Below are 13850 nucleotides of genomic sequence, written 5' to 3'. Positions count from 1 at the left end.
GGACTGCTTGGTATCTGGCAGAAGCAGGTCTAGTGTTTATTGTGAGTAACGTTTAGAACATAACTCATTGGCCGGGCGTGGTGGCTCACACCTGTGATCCCAGCACTTTGGGAGGCCGAGGCAGGTAGATCATGTGGTCAGGAGATCGAGACCATCCTGGCTAACACGGTGAAACCCCGTCTCTACTAAAAATATAAAAAATTAGCCGGGCGTGGTGGCGGGCGCCTGTAGTCCCAGTTACTCGGGAGGCTGAGGCAGGAGAATGGCGTGAACCCGGGAGGTGGAGCTTGTATTGAGCAGAGATCACGCCACTGCACTCCAGCCTGGGCGACAGAGCGAGACTGTCCCAAAAAAAGAAAAAAGAACATAACTCATCACTAGAATCTGGCACCTTTTCCTAGTGGATATTGGGTCGATTCCAAATTAACGTCCTCTGCCCTTCAAATATAACAAGATGAGGGTAGGAATAGTTCATCAAAGAATGCTGTTTTGACAACCATTTGCTTTCATCTACTTCTCAGATGTCTGTTTTTACCACTAGGATTTCTAATGTTTGACTTTCCTTTCTCTCTTGTTCTTGGGCCCAATTTGTAGTCTCCTCCTCCAGTCTGCATTCTAAATCAGTACATTGTGCTTTTCCTGTGCTCTAATATGTTTTCTATTTCTTTCTTTTTGATCTTCCTAGTCAACTTCATAGCCCACTCCCCCTACCCTCCTGTATTGTCACCCCATGCAATCCAAGCTGAAGGAGTCTATTTGAGAGATTAGAAAATGTATACTTTTTTTTTTTTTTTAATGAGAGGGAGTCTCACTATGTTGTCCAGGCTGGAGTGCAGTGGTGAGATCTCGGCTCTCTGCAACCTCTGCCTCCCGGGTTCAAGGGATTCTCCTGCTTCAGCCACCCGATTAGCTGGGATTACAGGCGCCTGCCACCACGCCCAGCTAATTTTTGTATTTTTAGTAGAGATGGGGTTTTGCCATGCTGGCCAGGCTAGTCTCAAACTCCTGACCACAAGTGATCCACCCGCCTCGGCCTCCCAAAGTGCTGGGATTACAGACGCGAGCCACCACTCCCGGCCTACATTTTCTTGATATAGTTAAGATAATCTCTTTATAGCTCTCATCATATCATCACCTTCTTTTATATTTTAAAATACCTTTATAGAAGGTGAAGCATTCTTATCATGTTTTAATTCACAAAGCAGTCATTTTAGTTATAATGACATTTTGGTAAAGAAAGGGATGTCGTTAACATTGTTTTATAAGGCGATTAAATTGCTAGTGTCTGGTTTTTCTGTTTTGCACATTCTAGTTTTGTAGTCTTAATGTGGAGCACACCTGTAGTTTGCAACACTTGGTCTGAACCGAATCTGTGATTCAAAATATTCGTATTCCTTAGTACTTCTAAGTAATTCTTGCAAAAAGTTGTGTTTCATTAACTTTTCATTTTTATGTTCGGAGGCACCCTCCTACACAAAATGAAATTTGCCTTCTACAATTCTCTGTTCATTTAGATATTATTAAAACTTTGAACTTTGTTTTCATAGTGTGAAAATGGAATATTAAGCACTTTGTTGTTTGAATTCGTGCTTCTGGCTGGGCACGGTGGCTTACACCTGTAATCCTAGCACTTTGGAAGGACGAAGCGGGAGGATCATCTGAGGTTAAGAGTTCAAGACCAGCCTGGCCAACATGGTGAAACCTCATCTCTACTAAAAATACAAAAATTAGCCAAGCATGGTGGCAGGCACCTGTAATCCCAGCTACTTGGGAGGCTGAGGCAGGAGAATCACTTGAACCCAGTAGGCAGAGGTAGCAGTGAGCTGAGATCGTGCCATTGCACTCCAGTCTGGGCAACAGAGCAAAAACTCTGTCTCAAAAATAAATGAATAAATAAGTGCATCTTAATCTGTGCACAGTGAAATCTGCAGAATTTCAAAAAAAAAAAAAAAATACAGATACCCATACCTTACCAGTTACATTATAAGTTCAAGTCTTCAGGTATGAAGCCTAGACATATTGATAAATACATACACACATAGAAGTGTTCCTGTGTGTAAAAATCTCCGCAAGTGATTCCAGGTCTAAGAGCCATTAGCTTAAGGTGATCTCCTTAACTAAGGGTTGTCTTCTAGGGAAATAAGGTGGAACGTCTAACCGTGATGGTGAACGGCTTCACTTTCAAAGTGAGGAGATGAATCTTGGAACGGATCATATGGATTGCTTATTGCAATTCTAGTCTGATTTATTTTGTATTAAATGGATTGTATTCTTTTTTTTGAGACAGAGTTTCTTGTTGCCCAGGCTGGAGTGCAATGGCGTGATCTCAGCTCACTGCAACCTCCACCTCCCAGGTTCAAGCAATTCTCCTACCTCAGCCTCCTGAGTAGCTGGGATTACAGGCATGTGCCACCATGCCCAGTTAATTTCGTATTTGTAGTAGAAACAGGGTTTCACCATGTTGGCCAGACTGGTCTCAAACTTCTGACTTCAGGTGATCCACCCTCCTCAGCCTCCCGAAGTGCTGGGATTACAGCCCGGCCAGATTGTATTCATATTACCAAGTAATCAGAAAATTCCCAGTGAATTTTATGTCAGATTTCTAGTATGGCTATTGGCCTATTGATAAAACTTCACCAGAAAAGTTTATATTGTGCCACTATTACCTATTAATATTTGCTGAACATTTACTAAAGTTTCAGGCATCCATACAAGGTACAAGAGATACCAGGATTACTAAGTAATAGCCACTTTACTCAAGCAACTCAGTTTATAAGGGAAAATAGACAAAAATGAATATATTTTGTACAAAGAAGTTTAGGAGTTGCTGTAGGTATATGTGAAGGGCAAGATAGGTGGTCAGAATTGAGAGGCTGGGAATTCTATGGGTGTTTTTCTGGGGGAAGTGATTGCTGGAGAAAGCTCACTATGAAAGGTCTTGGGACAGCATAGAGCTTTCATTTTCAAATTCAGTTGGACATGGAATACAAGGGAGGAGCAGAGTAACATGGGGAGATAACAGGGCTTTTTACTCAAAACTGAAGAGTTTGAATTCTATCTTGAACTCTATAGGGAGCTATTGAAAATTAGGGAGTGAAATTATTACATTTACTTTTATAAATGTAATTTTGATAGCTGGATAGAGGAAGGATTTGGAGAGTGGGAGGCTAGAGACAAGGGATTCAGGTAAAAGAGTTCTGCAGTAATTTATTGGTAAGAACCAGTGGGATAAGAGGAAAGGCACAAAGAAAGATATTTAGGATGTGGAATCAAAGGGACATAATGACTTACCTAACTAAAGCGGGAGTGGGAGAGAAAATATCTGGTCAGTTGGTGATGCCATTCGCTAAGACGGGGAGAACAGGAAAAAAGGCACATTTCGTTAGATGAAAGGGTTCTTTCTGTTTTTTAAAAATTAAATCTGAGGAGTCCAGGAGGACCTTGAACTGGAAATGACTCGTAAGCAGAGGGAAGGTCTGATCTTGTAAAAAAGGTTTTGACTTGAAATTATATGTGTAACATTATAATAAGCAATATTGGAAGCCCAGGGTTTTCAAAGAAGTCCCAAAGAGATTATGTATAGGGAAGTAACCCCGTAAAAACAGAATTTAAAGAAAAAGTAGACACTTTCAAAGAGATTGAGGCGTGCCCACAGAAGTGAGAGGAAAGCAGACTGATACTTGTAGAAGGCAAGAATGGTCAAAGATATTGAGAGGTAATTTAAGATAGCAATACTAGAGATCATTAGATTTAACAGGAGGACATTTTCAACCATGAACCGTTAGCACCATAGTTCAAATTCCAAAAATTACTTTGACTTTGGAAATTCAAATTTACTACTAATATGTGGACTGAGTTCTGTTATAAAATTACTTTCTGATTAGATGATTTGATTTTTTCTTTAATACATGTATATATACCATACACTCTAGTACATTTGCTAAAAGAAAATTCAAATATAATGAGGAAAATTATACTTTTAAAAAATGATCTACCATTAGGTTTTGGGTTACTTCCACTTGTTGGCTATTAATACCAATAATCTTTTATCTGTGTTAGCTTCTGTTTACCCTCAAAATTGCAGAAGCTCTTCTCTAAATGAAATATATCACTATTCTTTTTTTTTTTTCCAGGGCAGTTCACTGTGTTGCCCCAGCTAGAGTGCAATGGCACAGTCTTGGCTCACTGCATCCTTGACCTCCTGGGCCCAAGCGATCTTCCTATCTCAGCCTCCCTTGTAGCTGGGACCACAGGTGCACGTCACCACACCTGGCAATTTATTTATTTTTTTTATTTTTTTGTAGAGACAGGGTGTCACTTTGTTGCCTAGGTTGGTCCTGAATTCCTCGGCTCAAGTGATCGTCCCACCTCGGCCTCCCAGTGTTCAGTGTTCTTTAGGCTGGCTGTGCCTAGCGATTCCCTCCCTTAAGAGAATTCTTGTATTTCACCTTCTCAGAAATAATCAAACTACAGAACAATTCCATTGAACTGTTACATACCTCATGGCATTCTGGTAAAGATAAACCTAATCACTTTAAACATCCATAGCCTAAGAATTACAGTATATGAAAGAACAGTCTTGCCAATACAATGAATATTTAAAAATTTTAGACAAAAGATAGACCCGATTGTTTATATAATTTACTACTTTGTATGAAAGTCATAATGATGCTGTCTTTTTTAAGATGGAGTCTCGTTCTGTTGCCCAGGCTGGAGTGCAGTGGTGTGATCTTGGCCCACTGCGACCTCCACCTGCCAGGCTCAAGCAATTCTCCTGCCTCACCACCCCCAGTAGCTAGGATTACAGGCACCCGCCACAAGGCCCAGCTAATTTTTTATATTTTTAGTAGAGACGGGGGTTTCACCATATTGGCCAGGTTGGTCTCGAACTCCTGACCTCAGGGTGATCCACCCTCCTCGGCCTCCCAAAGTGCTGGGATTACAGGCGTGAGCCACCATGCCTGGCCTATAGTGATACTATCTCAATTAAATTAAAATACAAAGCACTTTATTTTCTTTTGATTAGATTAAAATTTTCTTTTCCAGCATGCATTATTTTATCAGCTATTCTGCATGTTTATATACTATAAGTATGAGGTATTTAACGAAAGCGATCCTTAAGGTAAATAATAGTGTCATTTGTTAGTTTGAGAGCTGAACTAGCTAGAGTGCCACTAGCCATATATGAATATGTAAATTTAAATGAATTAAAATTAAATGAAATTTAAAATTCATCTTTTTAGTTGTATTAGCTGTATTTCAAGTGCTCAATAGTTAACACATGGCTTGTGGCTAATGTATTGGACAGGAATATTTCCATCATCACAGTCTGTTGCACAGTGCTGGTATAGAGATATTTATAAAAATTATAATTTAACATGAAGATAAAAAGAAAAACTGCATAATTTAGGCTAGTAATTAGCAACTTACTGTTATACAGTAAAGTGTGTTAGTGATATATTCACTAAATACATTCTTGCTTAAAATAGACTCTGAGACGTTTCAGTTTTCTACACTTTGAAGTTTCAATTCACTTTTCATATGTTATACTGATAATGCAATGGAAATGATTTGTACCCACCTCCCAAATAGTTAATGTATAGTGAATCAGAAAAGGTATTGAAGATGAACAGAAACCATTTTTAAAGGGCACAAGAATTAGTGATATGCTAAAATTAATTGCAGACACATGGCAGAGAAATTGTTGTCCTGCGTGAGCTAAGAACAGTGAATCAAAGCATTTGACTTTCAGGATCGTAACAGACCCTTAACCCAGACTGCTTTCCTCCCATTGTCACTCCCTCCTGTAGACAGTTTCAGGTCTTCCAGACAGCTTTGTGTGGCTTTTCCTGCTCCTAGTGCTCTATGATCTGACAGTTTTTTAGATTTATAGTTATTTAGTGAACCTGGAGATAGTTTACTATTCTTTCAGAGTCTAGGTTTCTAATCCATGCTATACCCCAGTTTACTAAATTTCCCTCGTTTCTCTAGATTGATCCGCTGATTTTTGGCCAGCTGATTTTTGGTTTTTGGTTTTAATAACTGATTGATTCTTTCTTGTCTGTGAACTTCTCGAGGAGAGAATCTTGGAGCCTGCTGGTGGCCAAACAGGAGGCTGAGAAGATTGAAAATAGGCTGAAATTTACATGAACTGTCAGCATTTATTGCCCAAACAGAGTGTTAGAGAACTCGTTGTTAAGTTAAAATATATTGCATATCATCATACTCCAACTGTAGCCAAATCCGAGACTGGCAGAATCACCTGCATCATTTCGAGGTATATTTAAGAAAAATACAAAGGAGATAGTGATTTGTGGGAAAAGCCCCATATTTGGTAGCTGAAGGCCCAGATTTGAATCTAGGTGGTTCCTGTTTATACTGCATTTGTAACCTTGAATAAGGCTTTAACTTTAGTTTTCTTAAGGGAAAAATGTTTCTTGAATGCTTGTTTTGGGAGTTAAATGAAAGAATGCAAGTATTAATAGAAGCAATTAGCACAGTTACTGGCACAAAGGAGGTACTTGATAAATGTCTGAATCTAAGTCAATTGATTTTTTGGTGTAAAGCAACAAAATTATGCTTTAATGAGGGTAGTACAGTTCTACAAAAGCAAACAAGTCAGACTTTACGTGTTTCATAAACTGACAGGGAAAACCTAGCAAGAATTTTTAATGCCTAGATAATTTATGGAAAAGTATAACTTGTTTTTTCTTAGGTATTTTCTTTAAGCACTTTATTGAATGTTTTTTATGAAGAAATCTTTAATTAAATCACTGGCTTGCTAGCTTTTCCCATCAAATCTAAATCTTCTGTTAAAAATATATAATAAACTCAGACATAGAATATGTGGTGTGGTATTTGGAATGTCATCTTCACTTATTTTTATGAGAATTTTTTTTTTTTTTTAGTTTTAATGCTATATCAGATTTAAGTTGCAGCTTATATTTTTTCTTTAAACCTATTTGCTTTAATTGCCTTTCACAAAAGAATTAATAATGTATATGGCAGATGATAAAGGTAAAATTTAGAGTAGTCATTCCAGAATAATCATGAGTGTATGAAAGCAGAAATTTTCCCAGTAATGAGTTTGTTCACATGAGCATGAAACAAGTATCTTGGTAAGTATCCAAAAAAAGCACAGCTGTGGATTTATCCTTTTGGAGTAACTATAAAACAAGGGTGGAGATTTTAAATAAATGAATTTTTTCCAAGAGTATATTTCATTATGTGTGCCAGATCAAATTAATTATACAGCAGAGCTGAATTTTTGAATATGTTCTAAGCATATGTCAGTTTCTCAAAGATATTTCCGTAGACCACCCCGGCCTGAAGAGCACCACCCGAGTTATCCTGTCCTCTTTGTTTTTTCATGTTTCTTTCTTCCCACTGCCCCTGAGGTTTTCTTATTCATTTATGTAGCTATTTGTTTATTTTTGCTGCTGTGAGATTAGGAACTTTTTCTATCTTGATCCATTCTCTTTCCCCAGTATCTTATAGTGCTTACTACTTGTGAATGAAGAAACAAACTGGGTTTTATTTTATAGTACTCTATAAAATGGGGTCCTCATGTGTAACAGTATATAATGTTTATGTCCATTTTCTCGAACTTGAAGAATTTTTGTAGCTAAAACCAATTATGTCTATATACACACCTATATGTGAAATTCTTAGAACAGTGCCTGATTCATATTAAGTAGTCAATAAATGCTACCAATTATGAATAAAACCATTTGCTTTTATAATATATGATTTGCATTTTACTTGATCCTGAGTTACTATGATGTATGTTTGGACTTTATTTGATAATGAATCCTTAGTTGAAATGCCACCCCTAATTATTTCTTCATTTTCAGAAATACGTGGCATCAAAAGACAGACTTCTGGTGTTGAGGATATATTTTCTGTTAGGGACTTTTTAGGGGTGAAAATGTAAAATAGGATTCCTGAATTTATACATTTGTTTAAAATTGTATCTTTTAGATACTTGGTATGATGGGGTAAAAAGACATGGCATAATTACAGATGCCAGTTGATGCAATGCCTTAGTGTGTTTATTTCAGTTGATAAGCTTTACTGCTGGTTCAGATTACAATTTTGTAAGGTGAAGTGTATCACTTTTAACCCCCCTTTGTTTAGATTTTCATTGATTTTATTAAGAAAACCAGATCATCTTTCTCCTACGATTTATTCTTTCAGGAAACAAAGCTATGTCCTGGGCCAACCCCATGGAGAATATTGTCACCCTTTCATGCCTGTTGGTACCAAAAGAAAAGTTGTCACATGGATGCCTAAGTAGATAATATCTTATTAAAATGAGAAATGCATAAGCTAGAGAAAAGCATTTCCTACTGTGTAGACGATAGTCCTAATGTGAGGCCAGCTATTTCTTTCTCTACTGTGTAGACCGATAGTCCTAATGTGAGGCCAGCTATTTCTTTCTCTGCAATAGCAGGAGTTGTGGGGTGAGAGGAGGTTTAATCTTTATAAAGCCATCTGGTGATGAATCAGCCAGCCAATTGCCAGACCATAAGGATAGACTGCCCTTAACATGTGTTTTAGCTCAAGTAATTGTATACACTGACTATCATTTATAGAATAATGATTTTTTCTCAGGCTTAATAATCTGAGTAAACCAGTTTCTTTTTATGGGTGATATGGTGCACTATTTTGTAGTTCTCTTGTTATACTGTCATATATCAAGTGCACTTACTTATTATTGCCTGTCTCAACTTAAGTATTATAGTAATTAACATCATTCAGACCCCTCTTGCCATCATTCCTCGATTTGAATGATATGTGAATAGGAACAACGTTTTAAAATATATATATATATATATATATATATTTTTTTTTTGAGATGGAGTCTTGCTCTGTTGCCCAGTCTGGAGTACAGTGGCGTGATCTTGGCTCACTGTAAGCTCCGCCTCCTGGGTTCACACCATTCTCCTGCCTCAGCCTCCTAATTAGCTGGGACTACAGGCGCCTGCCACCACAATCGGCTAATTTTTTGTATTTTTAATAGAGACAGGGTTTCACCATGTTAGCCAGGATGGTCTTGATCTCCTGACCTCGTGATCTGCCCGCCTCGGCCTCCCAAAGTGCTGGGATTACAGGCGTGAGCCACCGCGCCTGGCCTGAAATATTTTTAAAAAGCAGTAAAATGTATGTAATTTTAAACCTGTGTAGTGAAGCTGTGTGCTCTGCTCAATAGCTGCAGAGTTTTTCTTTGTTTCATGTTTATTTAGAATGTAAAACTTAGATATTTACATTTTAGTCCATTAAATCATGAAAAGAACTCTGATTTAGCAGGAAAGTCAGTTTTTAAAGTTAATGATAGCTTTAAATGTAAATGTAATGATAGTTCCATGTAAATGGAACTGTGATGCTGGGCCAGTGTTCACATCCATCTGACACCCAAGTGTCTGAGCTTTCAACTTTTCTCAGATTGCTAGTGAAAACAGCTTTATGTGACAAAAAGATAAAGAATAAGAAAGAGACAACCGAAGAGGACTATAACTAGGATTTTTTAATGGCTAGATTGAATTGCTGTCAAAGGTTAGATGATTAATTTCACCTCCTGCCCCTGGAAATTTCTAGGTTATCCTCACTTCAAGACTTGTAGCAGCTCCAAAGCTACTCATTCATTGAAAAATAGCTTGTCAAATGCTCACTGTAGATGAAACATTGGGGTAGGCTCAAGGGATACAAAGATGAAAAAGTGTCTCTGTATTTCAGCTCTGTGCTGGTTTAGAATGATACCATCCCTACCGTCACCATCCATGTCTGGAGTAATGACAACCTCCTGTTGTTCTAGTAACACCCTAGGTTTATCTCTGTCATGGCATCTACTACCATTCCCTGCAGTAGTGAGTTCCTTGAGGCAAGATATTTTTGTTTGTTTTATCTTTATGTGTCCTTGATCCTCAGAGTGTCTGGATTCCGCAGGCTTCTCAATAGCTGTTGAAAGAAGGGAGGAATGGAGGAAGACAGTTTTGCTGCCTTCAAAGAGCTCATCAACTTGAGGTGTAATCATATCGTTACAGTATAGAATTATTAATACTAAAAATGATACTTTAAATTGTAGCATAATGTTTGAACAAAATATTGTGGGACTACAGAGAAAAGTATGGCTAACTCTGCCCTGGGGGAATGGGAATAAACTTACCAAAAAGCAAATCTGTTAGTTTTGTACTTTCTCATACTCTTTGAGATTTCCTAAATGCTGAAATTGATAAGCACAGAAGATAGAGACTGATATAATTTTGTATTATGTCTAGTCTGCTTTCAAGAACAAGTACTACAGTATTAGAAGAGACACTGAAGGCCAGGCATGGGGGCTCACACCTGTAATCTCAGCACTTTGAGAGGCTGAAGCGGGTGGATTGCTTGAACTCATGAGTTCAAGACCAGCCTGGGAAACATGGCAAAACCCCATCTCTAAAAAAATACAAAAATTAGTCAGGTGTGGTGCTGCACACCTGTAGTCCCCGTTACTCAAGAAGGTGAGGTGGGAGCCTGGAGCTTGAGCTTGGGAGGTGGAGGTTGCAGTGTGCTGAGATCTTGCCACTGAACTCCTGCCTGAGCAATAGAGAGCCAGACCTTGTCTCAAAAAGAAAAAAAAAGAAGAAGAAGAAGAAGAAAAGACAGTGAGGATTGCTGATGTGGAAAAATGGAAGAATTTGGGGGTTTGCTTTAGGTGTATTATTAATCACTTTAAATGAAGTGCTGGAATTACAGGCATGAGCCACCGCACCCAGCATAAAGATGGTTTTAATTCTGTCATTGATGTATTTGTCTTCTGTATGTGTTTTTTCTTTTATTCTTTTATTATTGTCTTTTTAAAAATTGAACTTTTTTGTAGTGTATCATTTTGATTTCCCTTTCTTTCACTGTATATTTTTAATGTATTTTCTTAGTGGTTACCTTGGCGATTCCAATTAATATCTTAAACTTATAAACCTAGTTTGAATATATCAATTTAGTTTCAAGAGTATACAGATACTTTGCTTGTGCACATCTCCATTCCTCCCCCGTAATATTATAATTGTCACAAATTACACCTTTATACTTTCCAGTAACATATTATAATTATTGCTTTATGAACTTGTTTATTAAACCATATGGGAAAAACAGAAGTTACAAACCATATGAAAAGTATGAAAACAGTGGATTTATATTTAGCTTTATAGATACCTTTATCAGTGGTTTTAAAAATTTTTTTCACAGTTTTAAGTTACTGTCTAGTGTCCTTTCATTGCAGCCCAAATGTCTTTCACATTTTTTGTAGGGCACTGTACTGACAAAAAAAAAAACTGTGTCAGCTATTGTTTAACTAGAAATATCTTAATTTCTGCTTGCTTAAAAAAAATAATAATGATGATAATAATAATAATAATGATGATGATGATGATGATGATGATGATGATGATGATGCTTGAAAGATAGTTTTGCTGGGTATAAAATTCTTGATTGACAGTTTTTTTTTTTCTTCTCCTTTCCCACTGCTATCCCACTGCTTTCTAGTCTCCATAGTTTCTGAGAAGAAATCTGCTGTTTATCTTACTGAGGCTCCATTGTACATGAAGAGTCACTTCTGTCACTGTTTTCAAAATTCTTTCTATTTCTTTAGGTTCTGACAATTTGACTGTAATGTTTCTTGTGTGGAGCTCTTTGAGTTTATCTGCTGGTAGTTTATTGAGCTTCTAGGATGTGTGTATTGATGTATTTTGGAAGTATTTTTCCATTAAGACTTCAAATACTTTTCTGTCATATTTCCTTCTGGGACACCTATATGTGTATATTAGTATGTTTGATGATATCCTACTGGTGCCTCAGGCTCTGTTCATTTTACTTCATTTGTTTTTCTGCTTCTCATATTGAAGATAAGACAGCCTCACTGTTCTTATCTTCAGGTTCACTGAACCTTTCTAACTCCTCCTCATATCTGCTTTTGAGCCCCTCTATTGAGTTTTTCTTACTTCAGTTAGTCTGCTTTTTAGCTCCAGAATATGTTTGGTTCCGTTTCATAATTTCTGTCTTCCTACTGATATTCTCATTTTTTTCATACACTGTTTTGCTAATTTTTTTGTTGATGGTTTTCTTTAGCTCATTCAACATATTTAAGACAGTAGATAGTTGATTTAACACCTTCAACTAATAACTACAATGGGCTTTAACGGGAGAGTTTCTGTCAAATCTTTTTTGTTGTTTCTTTATTTTCATTATGTTATTTTTTGGTTTTTGAGAACTGTATTTTGTATCTTATTTTTATTTATTCATTTGTTTTGAGGCAGTGTTTCACTCTGTTGCCCAGACTGACGTGCAGGGCATGATCATGGCTCACTGCAGCTTCAACCTCCTGGATGCCACCATGCCCAGCTATTTTTTTTTTTATTTTTCATAGATATGAGGTCTCATTATGTTGCCCAGGCTGGTCTTGAATTCCTGGGCTCAAGGAATCCTCCTGCCTCCACCTCCCAAAGTGGAGAGATTACATATGTGGGCTACCATGCCCGGTGAGAACTAGACCTTTTAAACATTATGTTGTGGTAGATCTGGAAATGTAATCCTTCCACTCTCCAGGGATTGCTGAATCTTACTTGTTGAGGGTTAAAGTGATGATCTGTTTGTGACTTTTGTAAACTGTTTTTGCAAGGTGTGTAGTTTTTGTTATAATGTGGTCACTGAAGTTTCTTCTGTTTCCTCTGTGGTCAGCTATTGACCTGATAAAGATTGCTTTCAATATCTGGCCTCAAAAAGGAGAAAGAAAAACAAACACACACACATTGTCTTTATATAATAAATTCCTTGGAAGTTTCTTAGGTCCGTGGGTATTGAAGTAGGTGGCCAGCTTTTGTATTGGTTTCTCAGTAATCAAAAGCAACAATGAGATCATGCAATCCAGTATTTGGAAGACTAGTTCCTTTTTGTGTACCCTGGCTCCAGGAAGCCACACTAGGAATGCAGGAGGCTGTCTCCAGGCTGCTTCTTGGAGCTGTTGGGATTGTGGCTGTGGAATGAGTGATAGCTGCTACCATGAAAGATGGCAATTCCATGACATTTGTCACCCTCTTTTACCATACGCCAGAGTTCCAAAATAGTCACTTCAGATCATTTCTGTCAATTGCATCTTTAGATGCTATCTTCTTGGCCTTTTTTTTCCCTCCTTACAAGCAGGATACCTGAAATGCCGAAACGTAATGTATATATTTTTGCAGTCATTTAGAAAGCATGAGGGACTGGTAATTTAATTCAGAAAGCCTATTCAAAAACCCATGTCTATTTGACTAATCCAGAAATTCTGGAAAGAAATATACCTGCTATCACATCTGGTTAAGACCTTGGTTGTGTTCTGTACAAGTTGCAAACCCACAGGCTCCTTTCCCACCATTTAGCGGAACCTGAGTTGAGTCACGTGCCTTGGCTACTGAAGAAACCACCAATCAGGTTTTAGTTTTATCCATGTGTGGGTGTTAGTAATATCCAATTAGTAGAAAAAGAGTGTCTTAATACTGAGGGACCAGTCGGAAAGCTGTCTGACAGGGAGAAAGTCTCATATAAAAACAGACAGTAGCTTCCTGTTATATCACATTCCCACTCAGCAGAGAAGCTGTAAGTGGACTCAGGGTCATTCCCCAGCTCAAGAAATAAATATTCCACATCTTGAGTATTAATGTGTTTTGTTTGTATTTTTCAGAAACTATGTATTCTTTTAAGTCTTATTAAAGTCAAGATGAAATATGTAAAAAGCCATTGTTTTTATTTTATTTTATCCAACTGTATAATTATTGTATGTTTATATTGTACATATTAGAGCATATGAATAATGCTTATTAACTCTGGGACTTTGC

General features: G+C 37.4%; 1 protein-coding gene across 27 annotated transcripts in view; it reads left to right on the top strand.

The window, feature by feature from the left end:
- Window positions 1–13850, top strand: part of CEP170 (centrosomal protein 170) — a 131358-nt gene that overhangs the window by 13199 nt on the left and 104309 nt on the right. For 2 of the 27 annotated variants that reach the window (XM_017002932.2, XM_047435495.1), the window contains exon 1: window positions 6908–10023. The exons of the other annotated variants lie outside the window; for them this stretch is intronic. The gene's annotated coding sequence lies outside the window, so the exon portion shown is untranslated. Of the gene's footprint in view, window positions 1–6907; window positions 10024–13850 lie in introns of those variants that run through there. 27 annotated transcript variants of the gene reach the window in all.

The sequence above is a fragment of the Homo sapiens genome, chromosome 1, assembly GCF_000001405.40.
Source record: "Homo sapiens chromosome 1, GRCh38.p14 Primary Assembly".
Lineage (NCBI taxonomy): Eukaryota > Metazoa > Chordata > Mammalia > Primates > Hominidae > Homo > Homo sapiens.
This window is presented reverse-complemented; position numbering and strand designations above follow the sequence as displayed.